This window comes from Homo sapiens, chromosome 15, assembly GCF_000001405.40.
Source record: "Homo sapiens chromosome 15, GRCh38.p14 Primary Assembly".
NCBI classification, from domain to species: domain Eukaryota; kingdom Metazoa; phylum Chordata; class Mammalia; order Primates; family Hominidae; genus Homo; species Homo sapiens.
In genome coordinates this window covers 29,612,372-29,629,330 of record NC_000015.10, presented here as the reverse complement: position 1 = coordinate 29,629,330, position 16,959 = coordinate 29,612,372, and the positions used below count along the sequence as shown (strand labels likewise).

The window sequence follows — 16,959 nt, the reverse complement described above, 5'->3', positions numbered from 1 at the left end:
GTAGACTTGAGCCCTAATCGATTAATAATTATTTTTAATATAAATGATCTCTGTAAAATATAATTAGTGACGAACTGAAAAACAGAGATTGGAAGAATGGATTAAAAAATGACCCATCTATGTGATGCACCTAAGAAACTCACTATAATGACATAAGTAGATTGAATATAAAAGGATGGAAAAGATATGCCATGCCAACTGGAGTGGCTTCATAACAGATATAGTAGACTTCCAAGAGAAAATTACCAGGGACATTACATAATGATAAAAAGATGCAACCTGGCCGGGCATAGTGGATTACACATCTAATCCCAGCACTCTGGGAGGCCGAGGCGGGTAGAGCACTTGAGGTCAGGAGTTCAAGACCAGCCTGGCCAACACGGTGAAATGCTGTCTCTACTAAAATTACAAAAATTAGCCGGGTGTGTTGGCGCCCACTTGTAATCCCAGCTACTTGGGAGGCTGAGGCAGGAGAATCACTCAAACCCAGGAGGTAGAGGTTGCAGTGAGTCAAGATGGTGCCACTGCACTCCAGCCTGGATGACAGAGTGAGGATCTGTCTTAAATAAATAAATAAAGATGCAACCATCCAAAAACACACAGTGATCTTAAATGTGCATGTACCAAACACCAAAGGACAGAACATCAAAATGCATGAAGTAAAAACAGAACTGAAAAAAGAACTAGACGATTCCCCAATTATGGTTGGGTACTTGAATTCCCCTCTGTCAGCAATTGATAGAAATATTAGATAGAAAATCAGCAAAGATACAGATGAACTGAACATCACCATCAATCAACATGATCTAATGGACATCGATAGAATATTCTAAGTGACAACAGCATAGTATACATTCTTTTCAAGCACCGTGGAACATTTAAGATAGATGAAAACCTGGATCATAAAAAACAAACCTTCACAAATGTAAAGAGAGTAAGATCACATAGAATAATTTCCTGAATATATAAAGAACTCCTACAACTCAACAACAATAGTAACAAACCACAAGCAACTCAATTTAAAAATGGGCAAAGGACATGAATAGACATTTCTCCAAAGGAGCTGTACAAATGGCCAATAAACACATCAAAGATGTTAAACATTATTACTAGAGAAATGCAGATCAAAATGTAATATTACTTCATACCCATTAGGATGACTTATTATCCTCCCAAATTGAAAATGACAAGTGTTGGTGAGGATGTGAAGAAATTTAACCCTTGTGCACTGCTGGTAGGAATGTAAAATGATGCAGTCACTGTGGAAAACAGTTTGAGTTGTGCAAAAAGTTAAACATAGAATTACCTTACAATCCAGTCATCTAACTTCTGGGTATATACTTACACGGAATGGAAAGCAGAAATATAGGTAGTTGTTCATTGCTGTTCACAGCAGCATTATTCACAATAGGTGAAAAGAACCCAAGAGCCCACCAATGGATGGATGAATAAATGAAATATGGCACATACATACGATGAACTGAATTATTATCCAGTCTTAAAAAAGAAGGAAATTTTGACATATGCTACCACATGTGATGAACCTTGAAAACATGTGCAAAGTGAAATAAGCCAGACTCAAAAAGGCAAAGTGTATGATTTCACTTGTATGAAGCACCTAGGACTGGCAAATGTATAGACAGACAGTAGAATAGAGGTTACCAGGAACTAGCAAAACGGGGAATAAGGACTTACCATTTAATGGATAGAGTTTCAGTTTGAGATAATGAAAAAAATTCTGGAGATGGATACTGGTAATGGTAACATGACTTTTTTTTTTTTTTTTTTTTAGATGGAGTCTTGCTCTGTCACCAGGCTGGAGTGCAGTGGTGAGATCTTGGCTCACTGCAACCTCCGCCTCTCAGGTTCAAGCAATTCTCCTGCCTCAGCCTCCCGAGTAGCTGGGACTACAGGCATGCACCACCATGGCTGGCTAATTTTTGTATTTTTAGTAGAGACGAAGTTTCACCATGTTGCCCAGGATGGTCTTGATGTCTTGACCTCGTGATCCACCCACCTCGGCCTCCCAAAGTGCTGGGATTACAGGCGTGAGCCACCACGCCTGGCCTAACATGACATTTTGAATGCACTAATACCACTGAATTGTATACTTTAAAATGGCTTAAAAAGTCAGTTAGAAAAATAAAAGTGCCCATAGCTGCATGAAACGAAAACACATCACATCGAAATTTGTGACATGCAGCTAAAGCACTGCACAGAGGGAAATTTACAGCACCAAATGCTTATATTAGGAAAGAAGAAAGATCCTAAGGTCAAAAATTAAGCACCCACCCCAGGAAACCAGGAAAAGAAGGAAAAAATAACAAAGAGAAGAGCAGAAATCAAAGAAAAAGCTGGCTCTTTGAAAATATCAGTAAAAATGACAAAATTATCTCAAGACTGGCAACAATAAAGACAGTTTATTTTTATTTGTTTTTTTATTGTATTTGTTTTATTTGTCTTTATCATTTTATGATAAAAACCCTCAGCAAACTAGGTATGAAGGGGAACCTCCTAAACTTGAGTAAGATCATCTACAGAAAATCCTACAGTTGACATCATCTCAATGGTGAAAGCTCACGTTTTTCTTGTAAGATATGGAACAAGATAAGGATGTGTCCTGTCAAGTTTTCAGTCAGTAAAATAAGGCAAGAAAAGAAAATAAAAAGCATACAGCTCAAAAAGGAAGAAATAAAACTGTCCATATTTTCAGATGACCTGATTAGGTAAAAAATGCTAAGTAAGATACTGTATTAGTCTGTTCTCCTGCTGCTAATAAAGACATACTCAAGATTGGGTAATTTATAATGGAAAGAGGTTTAATGAACTCACAGTTCCACATGGCTGGGAGGCCTCGCAATTGTGGCAGAAGGCAAATGAGCAAAGTCACATCCTACATGGAGGCAGGCAAGAGAGCTTGTGCAGGGGAGCTCCCATTTATAAAACCGTCAAATCTCATGAGACTTATTCACTACCACAAGAACAGTATGGGGGAAACCGCCCCCATGATTCAATTGTCTCCACTTGGCCCTGCCTTTGACATGTCGGGATTATTACAATTCAAGGTGAGATTTGGGTGGGGACACAGCCAAACCCTATCAGAAATCTAGGAAAACTCCTAGAGCTAAGTGAGTATAGCAAAGTTTGAAGATACAAGATCAACACAGAAAAATCAATTGTATTTTTATGTACTAGCAACAACATGAAGAAACCATTCTAAGTTTGGGAGGCCGAGGTGGGTTGATCATATAGGTCACGAGTTCAAGACCAGCCTGGCCAACATGGCGAAACCCTGTCTCTACTAAAATACAAAAAAATTAGCCAAGTGTGGTGGCACATGCCTGTAATTCCAGCTACTTAGGAGGCTGAGGCAGGAGAATCACTTGAACGAGGGAGGCGGAGGTTGCAGTGAGTGGAGATCATGCCACTGCACTCCAGCCTGGGCACAGAGCAAAAAATAAAATAAAAAAGAAAAGAAAAAAATTGTTTTTTAAATAGCTAAAATATAAAAATAGGCATAACATGAAATCTTGGCAAGGATGTTGAGAAACTGGAATTCTCACACATAGCTAGTGGAAGTGTGAAAATGGTATAACCACTCTGGAAAATAAGTTTCTTTAAAAACTAGGCATGTACAACCAGGTGTGGAGGCTCATGCCTGTAATCCCAGCACTTTGGGAGGCTGAGGTGGGTGGATCACTTGAGGTCAGAGTTCAAGACCAGCCTGGCCGACATGGTGAAACCCTGTCTCCACTAAAAATACAAAAATTAGCCAGGTGTGGTGGCAAGTACATGTAGTCTTAGCTACTCGGGAGGCTGAGGCAGGAGAACTACTTGAGCCTGGGAGGCGGAGGTTGCAGTGAGCCGAGATGGTGCCACTGCACTCCAGCCTGAGCGACAGAGCCAGACTTCATCTCAAAAAGAGAACAACAAACTAGGCATGTACTAACAATACAACCCAGTAGTGAAATGGAAAGTTATATTCACACACAAACTTGTACACTCACAGCGATTTTATTCATAATAACCAAACAGTGGAAACAACCCAAATGTCCTTCAAAGGGTGAAGAGTTGAACAAACTGGTTCATCCATAAAAGAAAATATTACTCAGCAATGAAAACTATTGATGCATGCAGTAGCTTGGATGGATATTAAGGGCATTCATTTTACTTAGTAAAAACAGCCAATTTGAAATGGTTTTTTTAAAAAATATTGTACAAGTTCATTTCAAAACATCCTCAAAATGACAAAACTATAGAGATAGAGAACAGGTTAGTGGTTGCTGTTAGGGACGGGTGGGTGGATGGGTGAGCCTGGATAGGATGGGTATGAGATAGTTCCCCAGAGATGATAGAATGGTTCCGTATCCTGATCCTGACATTACATAAATCTACACATAGGGTAAAATTGCATAAAACTATACACACACACACACACACACACACACACACACACACAAATTAATGCAGGGTAAAAATAAGTGAAAACTGAGTAAGGTTGCAGTGTAATGTAGCAGTGTTAATTTCTTGGTCCTTGGCTCTCATGTTGCAATAGAGTTATAAAAGATGTCACCACTGGAGGAAGTAAGGTGAGGGAGGGCTCAACAAACTCTATTTCTTATTTTTACAAGTCCCTGTGGGTCTCCAATTATTTTGAAATAAATAGTTTTGTAAAAGCCAGCACTGATGCTGGTTCTTCTCCTTTAATATAGAATTTCTTAAATTCTGTAGTTAGAGCTCATGCAGTTCTCCAAAATAACATCACTGAACGACAGCTAAATCATGTGCTGTACTGGTTGGAGACAGAGTGGCATTTACATAAATCCAGCATTTGTAGAGAGACATAACCCTGATCAGATGGAGACATATTGCTTTAAACATAGCACAGGATCAAGAAAATGCATCCTTACACTACTCACACATTCGGTTAAGGGCCAGAAAACCGAGCTAGATGAACATTTTCTAGAAACTATATTGTACGTGTGTGTGTGTGTGTGCGCACGTGCATGTGTGCGCGTTATTGGGAGACAGAAGGAAAGAGATAAATCATTTTGATTTTCTGGTATCACAAAGTTAGAAAAGGTTGAAGTTAAATTTGGTCGTAAGAAATGAGAGAATGGATATTGTGTGAATCGTAGAATAACTATCATAGGATATAGACTAAGAAGACACAGAGTGCACGAAAACGTGGATAAACCAAGTCGAAAGTACCAGTGGGCAAAGGGAACTTATATCCTGGATATTTCATGGTTACAATTACCTTTATAACTAGAGGCCAAAAGAAGGGACTGGAAGCCTGGTGCGGTGGCTCACGCCTATAATCCCAGCACTTTGGGAGGCCGAGGCAGGTGGATCACCTGAGGTCAGGAGTTCAAGACCAGCCTGACCAACCAACATGATGAAACCGTCTCTACTAAAAATACAAAACTTAGCTGGGCGTAGTGGTGGGCGCCTGTAATCCCAGCTACTTGGGAGGCTGAGGCAGGAGAATCACTTGAACCCAGGAGGAGGGAGAGGGTGAGTTGAGGGTCTGGTGGAGATACCTTACCCTCCCTCCTTCCTGTCCCTGCAGGCTCATGCATGTGCCCCAACCCAGTAGTGACTTTTTTTCTCCTATTATCTGATTGCCTCCTTTTAGCACCTTCTTGATTTAAAAACAAAACCAGTGTGACACCTTCTGACATTGTGGTGTCCTCAACATCCTATCTGGAACTGGAGCTTTCATGAGTTCTGTATTGTTCTGATGGCGTTGACATCTCTGCCACCAGAGCCCAAGCTGCATGTAGTAAAGTCTTCAGCCTCTAAACCCAGATTGCCTGGGTTCAAACCTCATTTTTCACGTTTACTTGCTGCATGACCTTGAGCAAAACCTAACTCTGTGTCTAAACCCCAGTTCCCCTGCTGGAAAATGGTGCTAACTACAGTGTTAATGTCCTCAGCTTTGTGAGGATGAAGCTGAGTAAATTACAATTAGCTATGGTAACATCTGAAACTTTGGCTGCCTGTAGCTTGGGCACCATGGCCTTGGAAACCTGAACTTGAGCCCACTCAGGACATGGGGGTGCCAAGCTTTTCCTCGCTCAGAGGCTGGCTCTGCAAGACCATGTGTGTGTTTCAGCGTTGAGAAACATTGTCAGGGGAAGACGGCCCCAGGAGCTACCGAAAAACATTGATCCACTCTTTTTATTGTGTTTCAGAAAGGAATTCTTCATTCTTCACCTTCTCCCATAACTCTTTGTCCAAAGATAATTTAACAAAGTATAAAGGAGCATTATAGCTTTTGCTGTAAAATTTAACTGCTACACTAGGAACTCAAACATCATCGTAAAACCACTGATGATGATGTTTGGGGTGGAAGTGTTCGCAGATGGTCACCCAGCTTCCCAAAGGAAGTTCTCAGCTTCAGAGTTCAGGGGCATTGCATATCACTATGACAAGCCTCAGCCTCACACCGCTCTCTGCCATCTGGAAGGACTCGTTCATCTCCACGGCCACCTCGCCAGCCTCTGGTGCTGACTTGGCAGAACTAATGAGAACAGTGAATGCCTGGCTACACAATTAGGACAAAATAAAACACATGCCGGGGTTTAAGTAAACTTCCATTTTCCTTTTCACAGAAGCAAACCTTGAAACAATTGGAGAGGAGAGGCTTGAGGTCAGGGCATCCCCTCTCACCTGCTCCAGTTGACCAAAGAGGACCAACAGGTCTCGGCTGTTGGAGTTTATTCTCAATAACACCTTCTCCTTGGTAGTTTCAACATTTCTCCTTAGGTTTTTTATAAAAGTTATGGTGAAAAACACATATAATAAAATTTACCATTTTGGCTGGGCGTGGTGGCTCACGCCTGTAATCTTAGCACTTTGGGAGGCCGAGGCCAGCAGGTCACTTGAGGTCAGGAGTTCAAAACCAGCCTGGTCAACATGGTGAAACCCTGTCTCTACTAAAAATACAAAAAAATTAGCCGGGCGTGGTCATGGGCACCTGTAATCCCAGCTACTTGGGAGGCTGAAGCAGGAGAATTGCTTGAACCTGGGAGGCAGAGGTTGCAGTAAGCCGAGATCATGCCATTGCCCCCAGCCTGGGCAACAGAGCTAGACTCCATCTCAAAATAAAATAAAATAAAATAAAATAAACTATTTTAACCATTTTAAGTGTACAGTTAGTAGTGTTAAATACATTCACAGTGTTGTGCAGCCATCCCCATCATCTATCTCCAGGACTCTTTTCATCTTGCAAAACTGAAACTGTGTCCCCATCCCCTCCCCACTGCATGGCCCCTGGCAACCACCATGTTACTTTCTGTCTTTGTGAATTTGATGAGTCTAGGCACCTCATATAAGTGGAATAACGCGGTATTTGTTCTTTTGTGATTAGCTCATTTCACTTAGTAGAAATGTTGTCCTCAATACTATTCCATTGTATGAATCCACCACATTTTGTTTATGTACTTGTCTGTGGATGGATGCTTGGCTTGCTTCCACTTTTTGGTTAATGTGAATGATAGTGCTTCGAACGCAGTGTACAAATATCACTTCAAGACCCTGCTTTCTTTGGCATGTATACTCAACAGTGGAATTTTTGGATCATATGGTAATTCTATTTTTAAGTTTTTGAGGAACTGCCATCCTGTTTTACATAGTGCCTGCACTATTTTACATTCCTACCAACAGTGCACAAGGGTTCCGATTTTTCCACATCCTCACCAATACTTATTTTCTGGGTTTTTTTTTTTTTTTTTTTTGATAGTGGCCATCCTAATGGTGCGAGCTGCCCCCTTACTTTTTTTTTTTTTTTTTTTTTTTTTTTTGAGACAGAGTCTCACTCTGTCACCCAGGCTGGAGTGCAGTGGCACGATCTCGGCTCACTGCAAGCTCCGCCTCCTGGGTTCACGCCATTCTCCTGCCTCAGCCTCCCGAGTAGCTGGGACTACAGGCGCCCGCCACCACGCCTGGCTAATATTTTTGTATTTTTAGTAGAGACAGGTTTCACCATGTTAGCCAGGATGGTCTCGATCTCCTGACCTCGTGATCCACCTGTCTCGGCCTCCCATAGTGCTGGGATTACAGGCGTGAGCCACTGTGCCCCGCCTATTTTTTTTATTTTTAGTAGAGACGGGGTTTCACCGTGTTAGCCAGGATGGTCTTGATCTCCTGACCTTGTGATCCGCCTGCCTCGGCCTCCCAAAGTGCTGGGATTACAGGCATGAGCCACTGCGCCTGGCCGCCCCCTTACATTTTAAGCAGGAGCAACTACTGCCAGCGCCATTTCTCAAATGCAGTAATGGTGGTGCCTAAGGCAAGACCTGGGAGAGCAGCACGATGAGACCCTGAGAGTCCACCCGGCTCCTCCCACATGCCTGGGATAATCGATACTGTCTGCTTCCAGAGGTCAGGCTGCATCTTTTGCATGTCTTTATTCTCAGCTTCTAACAAGAAACATCCAATAAATGAACTGATCAAATGAGAGGGATTTGTTCTTCCTTTCTCTCCATTTCCTGCCCTTTTCCCCACCTCTCAGTAAGATGAACCCTCTGTCTGCCCAAGCAAAGCCTCTGGGACAGGGGACAGTGGCTCAGAAACAGCCAGGCAGTTTCCATGAACTCCTTCTTCCCACTTATTTCTTTGGCCTCATCAGTCAGTGTGGAAAAGAGCCTAGCAAAACCATTATTTTTCCTTTTCATTTATTTATTTTAGAGACATGGTCTCACTCTGTCGCCCAGGCTGGAGTGCAGTGGTGTGATCATACTTCATCGGAGCCTGGAACTCCTGAGCTCAAATGATCCTCCTGCCTCAGCCTCCCAAGTAGCTGGGACTATAGGTGTGAGCCACTGCACCTGGCCCAGACCCATTCTTGAGATTTGCAAGGTGGAGGGGAAAACAGCAGCCACCTTGCTCAGAATGTCAGTGCAGGCACCACAAGCTTCACAGCCCAGGTGCACTGTCCCTGACCTGCCGGCCCACCTCCTGGGCATGGGAGAGCAACCCGGCCTGCAGCAACCACTTCCCCCCGGTTTCTCCCAATTCCCTGTCTGCTGGGCCAGGTAGTTCATGCTCAGCTCCATGGCAAAGGCACCAGCTTCTCCTGCAATTCACCTGACAGGTGCTTCCCAGAGGTAGGGAGAAGCCCAGGAGGGCTCCAAACTCATTCTCCAGGGTGAGCTTGTCCTTTTCCTCACTTTGTGTCATCTGTCCTTCCTCACAGCTGACCAGGCACAGAAGCAAAAAACGTACATAAACTCTAACCAGTTCCCACATTTGCATGAGATCAAATTCCTATAATAAACCCCCACATTCTATATCATCCCATTGGTTCTGCTTCTGAGGCTTCACAGACACAGAACCACTCACTGGGACTGAGATGCGGGAAAGCTGGAATGGATCCTCCAGTTAGAGTCTGAGGGTGAGATTCAGGGAGCAAACTGTGAGTCATGGGAGGACAGGGCTCACAGAGGCCATGAGAGATGGCCCAGAAACCAGAAAAGCCACCTGAGGCAGAGACAGGAGAACCTCCAGGCACGTGGCCAGGAGTGGGAGGATGAGCCTGGTGATGAGATCAGGGGATGGCCAGGAGGGTGGGTGTCAGGAAATCCGTAGCCTCTACCCTGCACCTGCATGGGACAAGAGAGTGAAGCTCCAAGAGCACCGACCTCTTCTTTCCTGAGCAGTCAGAGTTCCATTTGTCCACTACTGCAATGAGACAGGTGACACTTTGTCTTTCACAGGCACTTTTCAGTACTGTGTCTGTCCCTCTAGAGGCACTGGATAAGCGTGTAGGCACTGGAGTTGATAGGCCTGGGTTTGTGTGTGTCCCAGCTACACCATGACCAGCCATGGGATATTTAGCGAGTTATTTAACCCTCAGTGTTTCAGTTTCCCCATCTGTAAGTAAGGATGTCTATCTCATGAGGTTGTTGTGACTTATTTATTTATTTATTTTTGAGATGGAGTCTCGCTCTGTCACCCAGGCTGGGAGTGCAGTGACACAACCTAGGCTCACTGCAACCTCCGCCTCCTGGGTTCAAGCAATTTTCCTGCCTCAGCCTCCCAAGTAGCTGGGATTACAGGCGCCAGCGACCACACCTGGCCAATTTTTTGTATTTTTAGTAGAGATGGGGTTTCACCGTGTTAGCCAGGATGGTCTTGATCTCCTGACCTTGTGATCCACCTGTCTTGGCCTTCCAAAGTGCTGGGATTACAGGCGTGAGCCACCGCGCCCAGCCATGCATGCAAAACAGCTAGCACATGCCTGACACACAAAGAGTACTCAGAAAGGGTGATTTCGCTTCAAAACTCAAATGGGCCCCTGCCGGGTGGCTCTGCACTGGGAGTGTGGTCCTCCTCCACTCCAGCCGCAGCCAGGGGAATCTTCCAGCTCTTGTCTGCTTAGGCTCTGTCTCCTGCATGTAACTTTCTTCCTTTGGTTTCTCCAGGGGTTGTCTTAGCGTCTTCTGTGCTTTCTCACCAAGGGTGTTTTGGCCCTTTCTTGAGAGCCAGGCTGAGTCACCCTCCTGTGTGTCTCTCCTAAGTCTGTGGGTGCTGCCACCCTGGGGTGGGAGGGCCATGTGACCAGATCAGTCTCCTTCAGGGCACACTGCTGGCAGCCACCACCCATCAGGGCAGCCTCTGGGGACCTGTTTTCTAGATTGCATTTCAGAGAAGAATGATATTGATCATCATTATCAGAGAACATATGCTTATCTTACCTAGGACATGTCTGTAATTTTTGTAAGAAGAACATAGCAACAAAGGTTTTCGCATTGATTTCTGTGTTTCTCTGTTCTATTAGTGGCTGGCAACCTGCTGAGAACTTCAGATTCACAAGAGGCTCACGGGAGGGAAAGCAGATTTAGGACCCTTCAAAGTGCGTTTCCTGGATCATCTGTGAAAACATTTTTTTTTTTTTTTTTTGAGACAGAGTCTCACACTGTCGCCTGAACTGGAGTGCAATGGCGTGATCTCAGCTCACTGCAACCTCCGCCTCCCGGGTTCAATCGATTCTCCTGTTTTAGCCTCCCAAATAGCTGGGATTACAGGGGTCTGCCACCACGCCCAGCTAATTTTTTGTATTTTTAGTAGAGACGGGGTTTCACTATGTTGGTCAGGCTGGTCTCGAACTCCTGACCTTGTGATCTGCCCGACTCGGCCTCCCAAAGTGCTGGAATTACAGGCGTGAGCTACCACGCCCGGCCTCTGTGAAAACATTTTTAAGCCTATGGACACTATAGACATGGCTACAGACAGATGAACTAGCCATTATTTCTAAGACTCTAAGAAAGAGATAGGCAGCCCACGAAAATTAGGAAACAGAAACAGAGGTGGGAGTGGAGGAAGCCCAACCTTGGTCAGGAACTAACCAGCTAGTTAGAGAGTCCAGAGCAGGACATGAGACCAAGAGGATGAGGAAAAGGGCTGTGGAAATCAAGATGCCAGGCTGCCTGGTCCTAACCTTCTGCCCGAGAGGGCTGAGACACAGGCCCTCTGTCAGGCTGCCCTGGGCCTCAGGCTCAGCGGGCATCCCCGTCACCCACCACCTTGTGCAGCCATCGGGATGAGACCCTGCAGAGCTCTCTGAGAGATGCCACATAAGAGCGCCTCCTGCCCAATGTCCACCCACTGATCTGAAATTCTGCTTTTGGTGACAAGTAGGGCTTGGTGCTTTGAATATCTTCCCCCAAAGCCTCATCTTTTAACCTAAGTTGCACCTGTGTTGATGAATGCTGATGGCGTAGGTTGATGGATTCCATCATGTTTCTTAATATCGCAGCTGAAGACATGAAATAATGAGTTGCAGCAGCTAATGTCACAGGTCAACTTGACTGGATTAAGGGATGCCCAGATGGCCTGTAGAGCAGTCTTTCTGGGTGTGTGTGAGGGTGTTTCTGAAAGGGATTGGCATTTGAATCCATTGACTAAGTAAAGATCACCCTCACCAATGTGGGTGGGCATATCCCATCCACTGAGAAGCCAGACAAAACAAAAAAGGAGGAGGCAAAGGGAATTCTCTCTCTCTCTTTTCTGGATCTGGGACCTGCATTTTCTCCAGCCCTTGGACGTGTGCATTCCTGGTGCTCAGGCCTTTGGACTCCAGGACTTACACCATAAGCTCCCCAGGTTCTCTGGCCTTTGGGCTCAGGCTGCAGTACACCCCTGGCTTTCCCGGGCCTCCAGCCTGCAGACAGCCTGCCGTGGGACTTCCCAGCCTCCATAATCACATGAGCCAGTTCCTATAATAAATCTTATCTTATTTATTTATTTATTTTTATTATAATTTGAGAGGGCGTCTCACTCAGTTGCCCAGACTGGAGTGCAGTGGCATGATCTCGGCTCACTGCAACCTCCGCCTCCCAGGTTCAAGTGATTCTCTTGCCTCAGCCTCCGGAGTAGCTGAGATTACAGGCATGTGCCACCACACCTGGCTAATTTTTGTATTTTTAGTAGAGATGGGCCAGGCTGGTCTGAAACTCCTGACCTCAAGTGATCTGCCTGCCTCAGCCTCCCAAAGTGCTGGGTTTACAGGTGTGAGGCACCATGCCCAGCCCCTAAATTTCCTCTTATTTATCTCTGTATAGCCTATTGAGTGTGTTTCTCTGGAGAATCCTGACTAATATAAAAGTTGAGTCATAGGAAGCAAAATACTTGTCTGTAAAGGGGAAATGAGATCCAATGTATTTTAAAAGTTTCCTTTCCCTTTTTGTTATACTTAAAGCAGTATGAAAAAAGGAAAAGGTAAACAATCAAAAATTCAACCAATCAGATCATCAAGTCATACACCTTAAATATATGCAATGCAGAAAACACAGCCAGGTTAACATTTTGTGAAGCAAATTTAAAAGCTTCCATAAAAGCTTCTAAAGAGACACTCTGTGAGTGTGACTGTCTCACAGAGCAGGGGAATTGGAAAAAAATCCACCTCTGAGTGTGGAGTGGTGAGCCCTCTGACAGCCATCAGCCCTGACCGGGTCTGTCTCAGCCCCTTCAAGTGGTGTCAGAGGACTTGTCTTCTCACACTGCAGGCTAACTCTGCCACATCCTGGTAAAAAGAAGTCTGACCAAGGGGTCATCGTCCCCTTGGTTTGTCCAAAGGTCTGCCTTAAAAGGAGCTTTTTATAAAGGGTAAGGGAAATGCTCTGTTGCACAAAGGATTTATTCCAAATTGAGGGTAATACATCAAGAATGACTTTTGTCTGCTCTGATGTTTGCAAAACTGCTGTATATTTGCATTGTTCAGGGTACATTGTCTAGCAACAACATATGTGTGATCCTCCAACAGACACTGTTACCTGCATGCTCCAGGTTAGCCTGGGCGATGGCAGCTGCTCTGTGAACCGGGGTGGGGGCTGCTGTCCCACCAGGTCCTCTGGTGCCATGGCATGTGCATGAGGGCCCTCTCTCAGGAGTGCCCACACTTTGAGCTTCTAGGCTCTTAACAAAGGTGGTATTGGACGCTGCTTCCCTGTATCATCCCTGCCGGGTAGGGAAGAAAGACAATCTGCACAGTGGATTTTTTTCCAATTCCCATTTAATTTTGGCTCTTGGGACAATGTCATCTTTTCATTATGAGGAAAAAGCAGCAAGTTCAACCCAAAATAGAAATCTGAAGTGTAGGGTAGGACAAAACCAAGAGCAGGGGAAAAAAGGGAATAGCAAAAGGAAGAGATGAGATGTTGCCCCATCCCCTCTCATCTTGGGAATGACTCAAACATTTAGGTGGGGGAACACACCTTCCCACATATGTCAGGGATGTTACACCTTTTAAGGGGTAAGACAAATTGGGAATGGAGAGGGCATTTCTAGAGGCTAAGGGACCCAGGCAGATCTCTCCCTCTTAATCTCCTTTTCTGATTAGGGAAAAGGAAGGGATCCAAAATGTGAGAGGGGGCCAGGCGTTGTGGCTCACGTCTAATCCCAGCACTTTGGGAGGCAGAGGTGGGCGGATCACCTGAGGTCAGGAGTTCGAGACCAGACTGGCCAACATGGTGAAAACCCAGCTCCATTAAAAATACAAGAATTAGCCCAGCATGGTGGTGTGTGCCTGTGATCCCAGCTACTCAGGAAGCTGAGGCAGCAGAATCGCTTGAACCCGGAAGGCAGAGGTTGCAGTGAGCTGAGATCGCACCATTACACTCCAGCCTGGGCAATGGAGGGAGACTCCGTCTCAAAAAAAAAAAAAAGAAAAAAAAATTTGTGAGAGAAGAGGAGTGGTGGGAGAAGGAAAGACCTCTCTTGGTGAAGCGGGGCGACTCCTCCAAAGGAAACTGAAAATGGGATAATGCTGTTACCACCTCCCCTGAACCTGAGAATTGGAGCACAGAAATACCTGGGAATTATGGCTTTATGAGCCTGGATTTCCCTCTCCAAAACCGTTCTAGAATGGAAAATCCCATCCTCTTCCTTGCAGTAACTTCTTTCTTTTTTTTTATTGTTACTTAAAAAAAAAATAGAGACGTGGTCTTGCTATGTTGCCCAGGCTGGTTTCAAACATCTAAGCTCAAGCAATCTTCCAGCCTCAGCCTCTCAAAGTGCTGGGATGACTGGCGTGAGCCACCATGCCCAGCCCCTTGCAGTAACTTCTTCCTGCCACCTTCTACCTTCCCAGTGCTGGCTACTACGTGGACATAGGATGGTGCACATTATCTGGGTTTTCAGCACCCGGTTGGTTCTAAATGGGATCTGAATGGGACCCAGCTTCCTGGAGAATTATTTTGAAAACAGAGGGACATATTAATTGGGCAGATGGGAGGAGGGTACCAGAAGGAAATACACGGTTACCCAGATCGGCAGAAATCTAGGTTTCCTGGAGTGGAAAGAGAGAGGAGACATTCAGCAGACAAATATTTATTGAGCACTTACTATGTACCAGGCACTGCTCTAGACCCTCCCTCTCCCCAGATAAACAAGGTAAAGGCAGCAAACACGACTACTGAGGGAGAAGAAAGGGGCAGCCAAGGAAGAAGGCTGAAGGAATTGAGATGCCAGAGGTGATGGGAGCTCTGCCTTAGGCCTCCCACTGGGCTTCCTCACTGAGTCCTCTCCCTCTTCTGCGGCGGCGTCCTAGACTGTCGATGTTCAGAGATGAAGTCATTCATGTTGTTCTCGGCCTCAGCGAACTCCATCTCGTTCATGCCCTCCCCTGCATACCAGTGGAGGACAGCCTTCCCGCACAATACAGCAGGGAACTGCCCTGAGAGGCCATGGAGAGCTTCTGGGTGGCCGCGCTGTTGCCGACGAACGTGACCGCCATCTTGTGGCCATGAGGAAGGATGTCCCACATGGCTGTCTTGACCGTTGTTAGCATCCATTCCATGAAATAGCTGCTGGCGACTCTTGTTCTGCACACTGAGCATCTGCTCATTGACTTCCTTCATGAATGGATGGATATTCATGGAAGAAGGCAGTCCTGGTGGGGCAGCCATCATGTTCTTGGCATCAAAGACCTGCTGGGTGAGTTTGGGCATGGTGAGAGCCCTATACAGCTGGCTTCCACAACTGGTGAGAGGGGCAAAGGTAGCCATGAAGAACTGGAGGCGTGGGAAGGACACTGTATTGACTGCTAGCTTGCAGAGGTCCGAATTGAGCTGGTGAGGGAAGCAGAGGAAGGTGGTGACCCCACGCATGTTAGCTGAGACAGGTGGGTCAGGTCCTCATAGTTTTGTGTGGTCAGCTCGAGGGTGCGGAAGCGAATATTATAAGGAGCCTCAATGTCTGTGCCGCAGGTCTCATCAGTGTTCTCTACCAGTGGATGGATGGGGAGGGGGCACTGCAGGGCTCAGCCACAGTGCCAAACACTTTGAGTGAGGGCATTACACTGGAGGTGTTCATGATGTGGTCAGGATCCTCTTCTCGGATCTTGCTGTGGAGGAGGGTGCCCATTCCAGAGCCTGTGCCCTCACCCAGTGAGTGGGTCAGCTGGAAGCCCTGAAGGCAGTCACAGCTCTCAGCTTCCTTCTGCACATATCCAGGAATGAATCAACCAGCTCAGCTCCACTGTGTACTGCTGCCTGCCCCAAACTGACCGAAAACAAAGTGGTCTGGTCTGCAGATCTAAGCAAAAGTGCTCACTACCCGATGCGCTAGAAGCCAACGCTATGACACTGGGTTTTTCAGAAAAGAAACGCTTTTTATTGCAGGTCTATCAACAAGGAGATAGCATTCTAGCTCAAATCGGTCTCCCTGTGCTGGGCATAAGGCTGTACTTTTGTTAGAAAAGGTTCAGGGAGTGAAAAGGGTGGTCTGCAAAGTCCTTGGGCATGGACAATTATCTCTTCCTGCCTTTTTATGGGGCCCACGTGCAAATTCTGGGGGAGTTAGGATGAAACATGCAGAGGAAATTCAGGTCGTAGCATCACCAGTCTCGTTCTGCGTATACTCCAGTGGGCCGTATTGGTTTCAACTGATTTCAGCCTGTTTTGTTACCTTATAGTTGGAGGGAATTTCAGCAAGCTGTTTCTTTTCTTATCTGCCATCCTGCAGGCTTAAGAATTTCTGTGAGTCACTGGTTTCTTTAACTCTTTGGGGCATGGTTTCAAAAGGATCTGAGCAGAGTCCATGATCCCAGGTTCTGGATCCACCAGGATAGTGGGAGGAACATATTTGTCCCCAGTGCCTTCACTGTGGCACACCAAGATGTGGTCCAGCTACAGATCGTGGTCCCTGGGCAGGTACTGGTAGGTCCATGCTATGACCATCACTGATAACTTCCCAGAATTTGGCACTGATCTGACTGCCACAGTGTCCTGTCTGGATGTGCACAATTTCCTCCATGGTTAACATTTAATTTTTTTGCCCACCTCAAGGATATATGGAGCAAGAACATATGTCTTTTTTTTTTTTTTCTCTGCTGGTAGCAGGCTGAAGGTGTGCCAGAGGCTGGAGGAATAAGATTTGAATGTGGTGGTGGGAAGGTTCTAAGAGGGGCCACGCTGGGATGTTGCAACAAGAAATTCCAGCCCAGAACCAAAC

The 16,959-nt window shown here is 45.7% G+C and overlaps 1 protein-coding gene and 1 pseudogene across 3 annotated transcripts in view, besides 1 other annotated feature; one reads left to right on the top strand and one right to left on the bottom strand.

Moving 5' to 3' along the window:
- ENTREP2 (endosomal transmembrane epsin interactor 2) overlaps positions 1-16,959 on the top strand; it is a 557,698-nt gene that overhangs the window by 46,079 nt on the left and 494,660 nt on the right. The gene's annotated exons all lie outside the window — the stretch shown is intronic.
- Positions 14,861-16,052, bottom strand: TUBBP8 (tubulin beta class I pseudogene 8; annotated as a pseudogene).
- Positions 15,072-15,366: an enhancer, noted in NCBI's record as "tiled region #3573; HepG2 Activating DNase matched - State 12:CtcfO, and K562 Activating non-DNase unmatched - State 12:CtcfO". NCBI's record gives its function as "activates a minimal TATA promoter and a strong SV40 promoter by Sharpr-MPRA in HepG2 and K562 cells {active_cell/tissue: HepG2 | K562}" and the evidence as "EXISTENCE:reporter gene assay evidence [ECO:0000049][PMID:27701403]".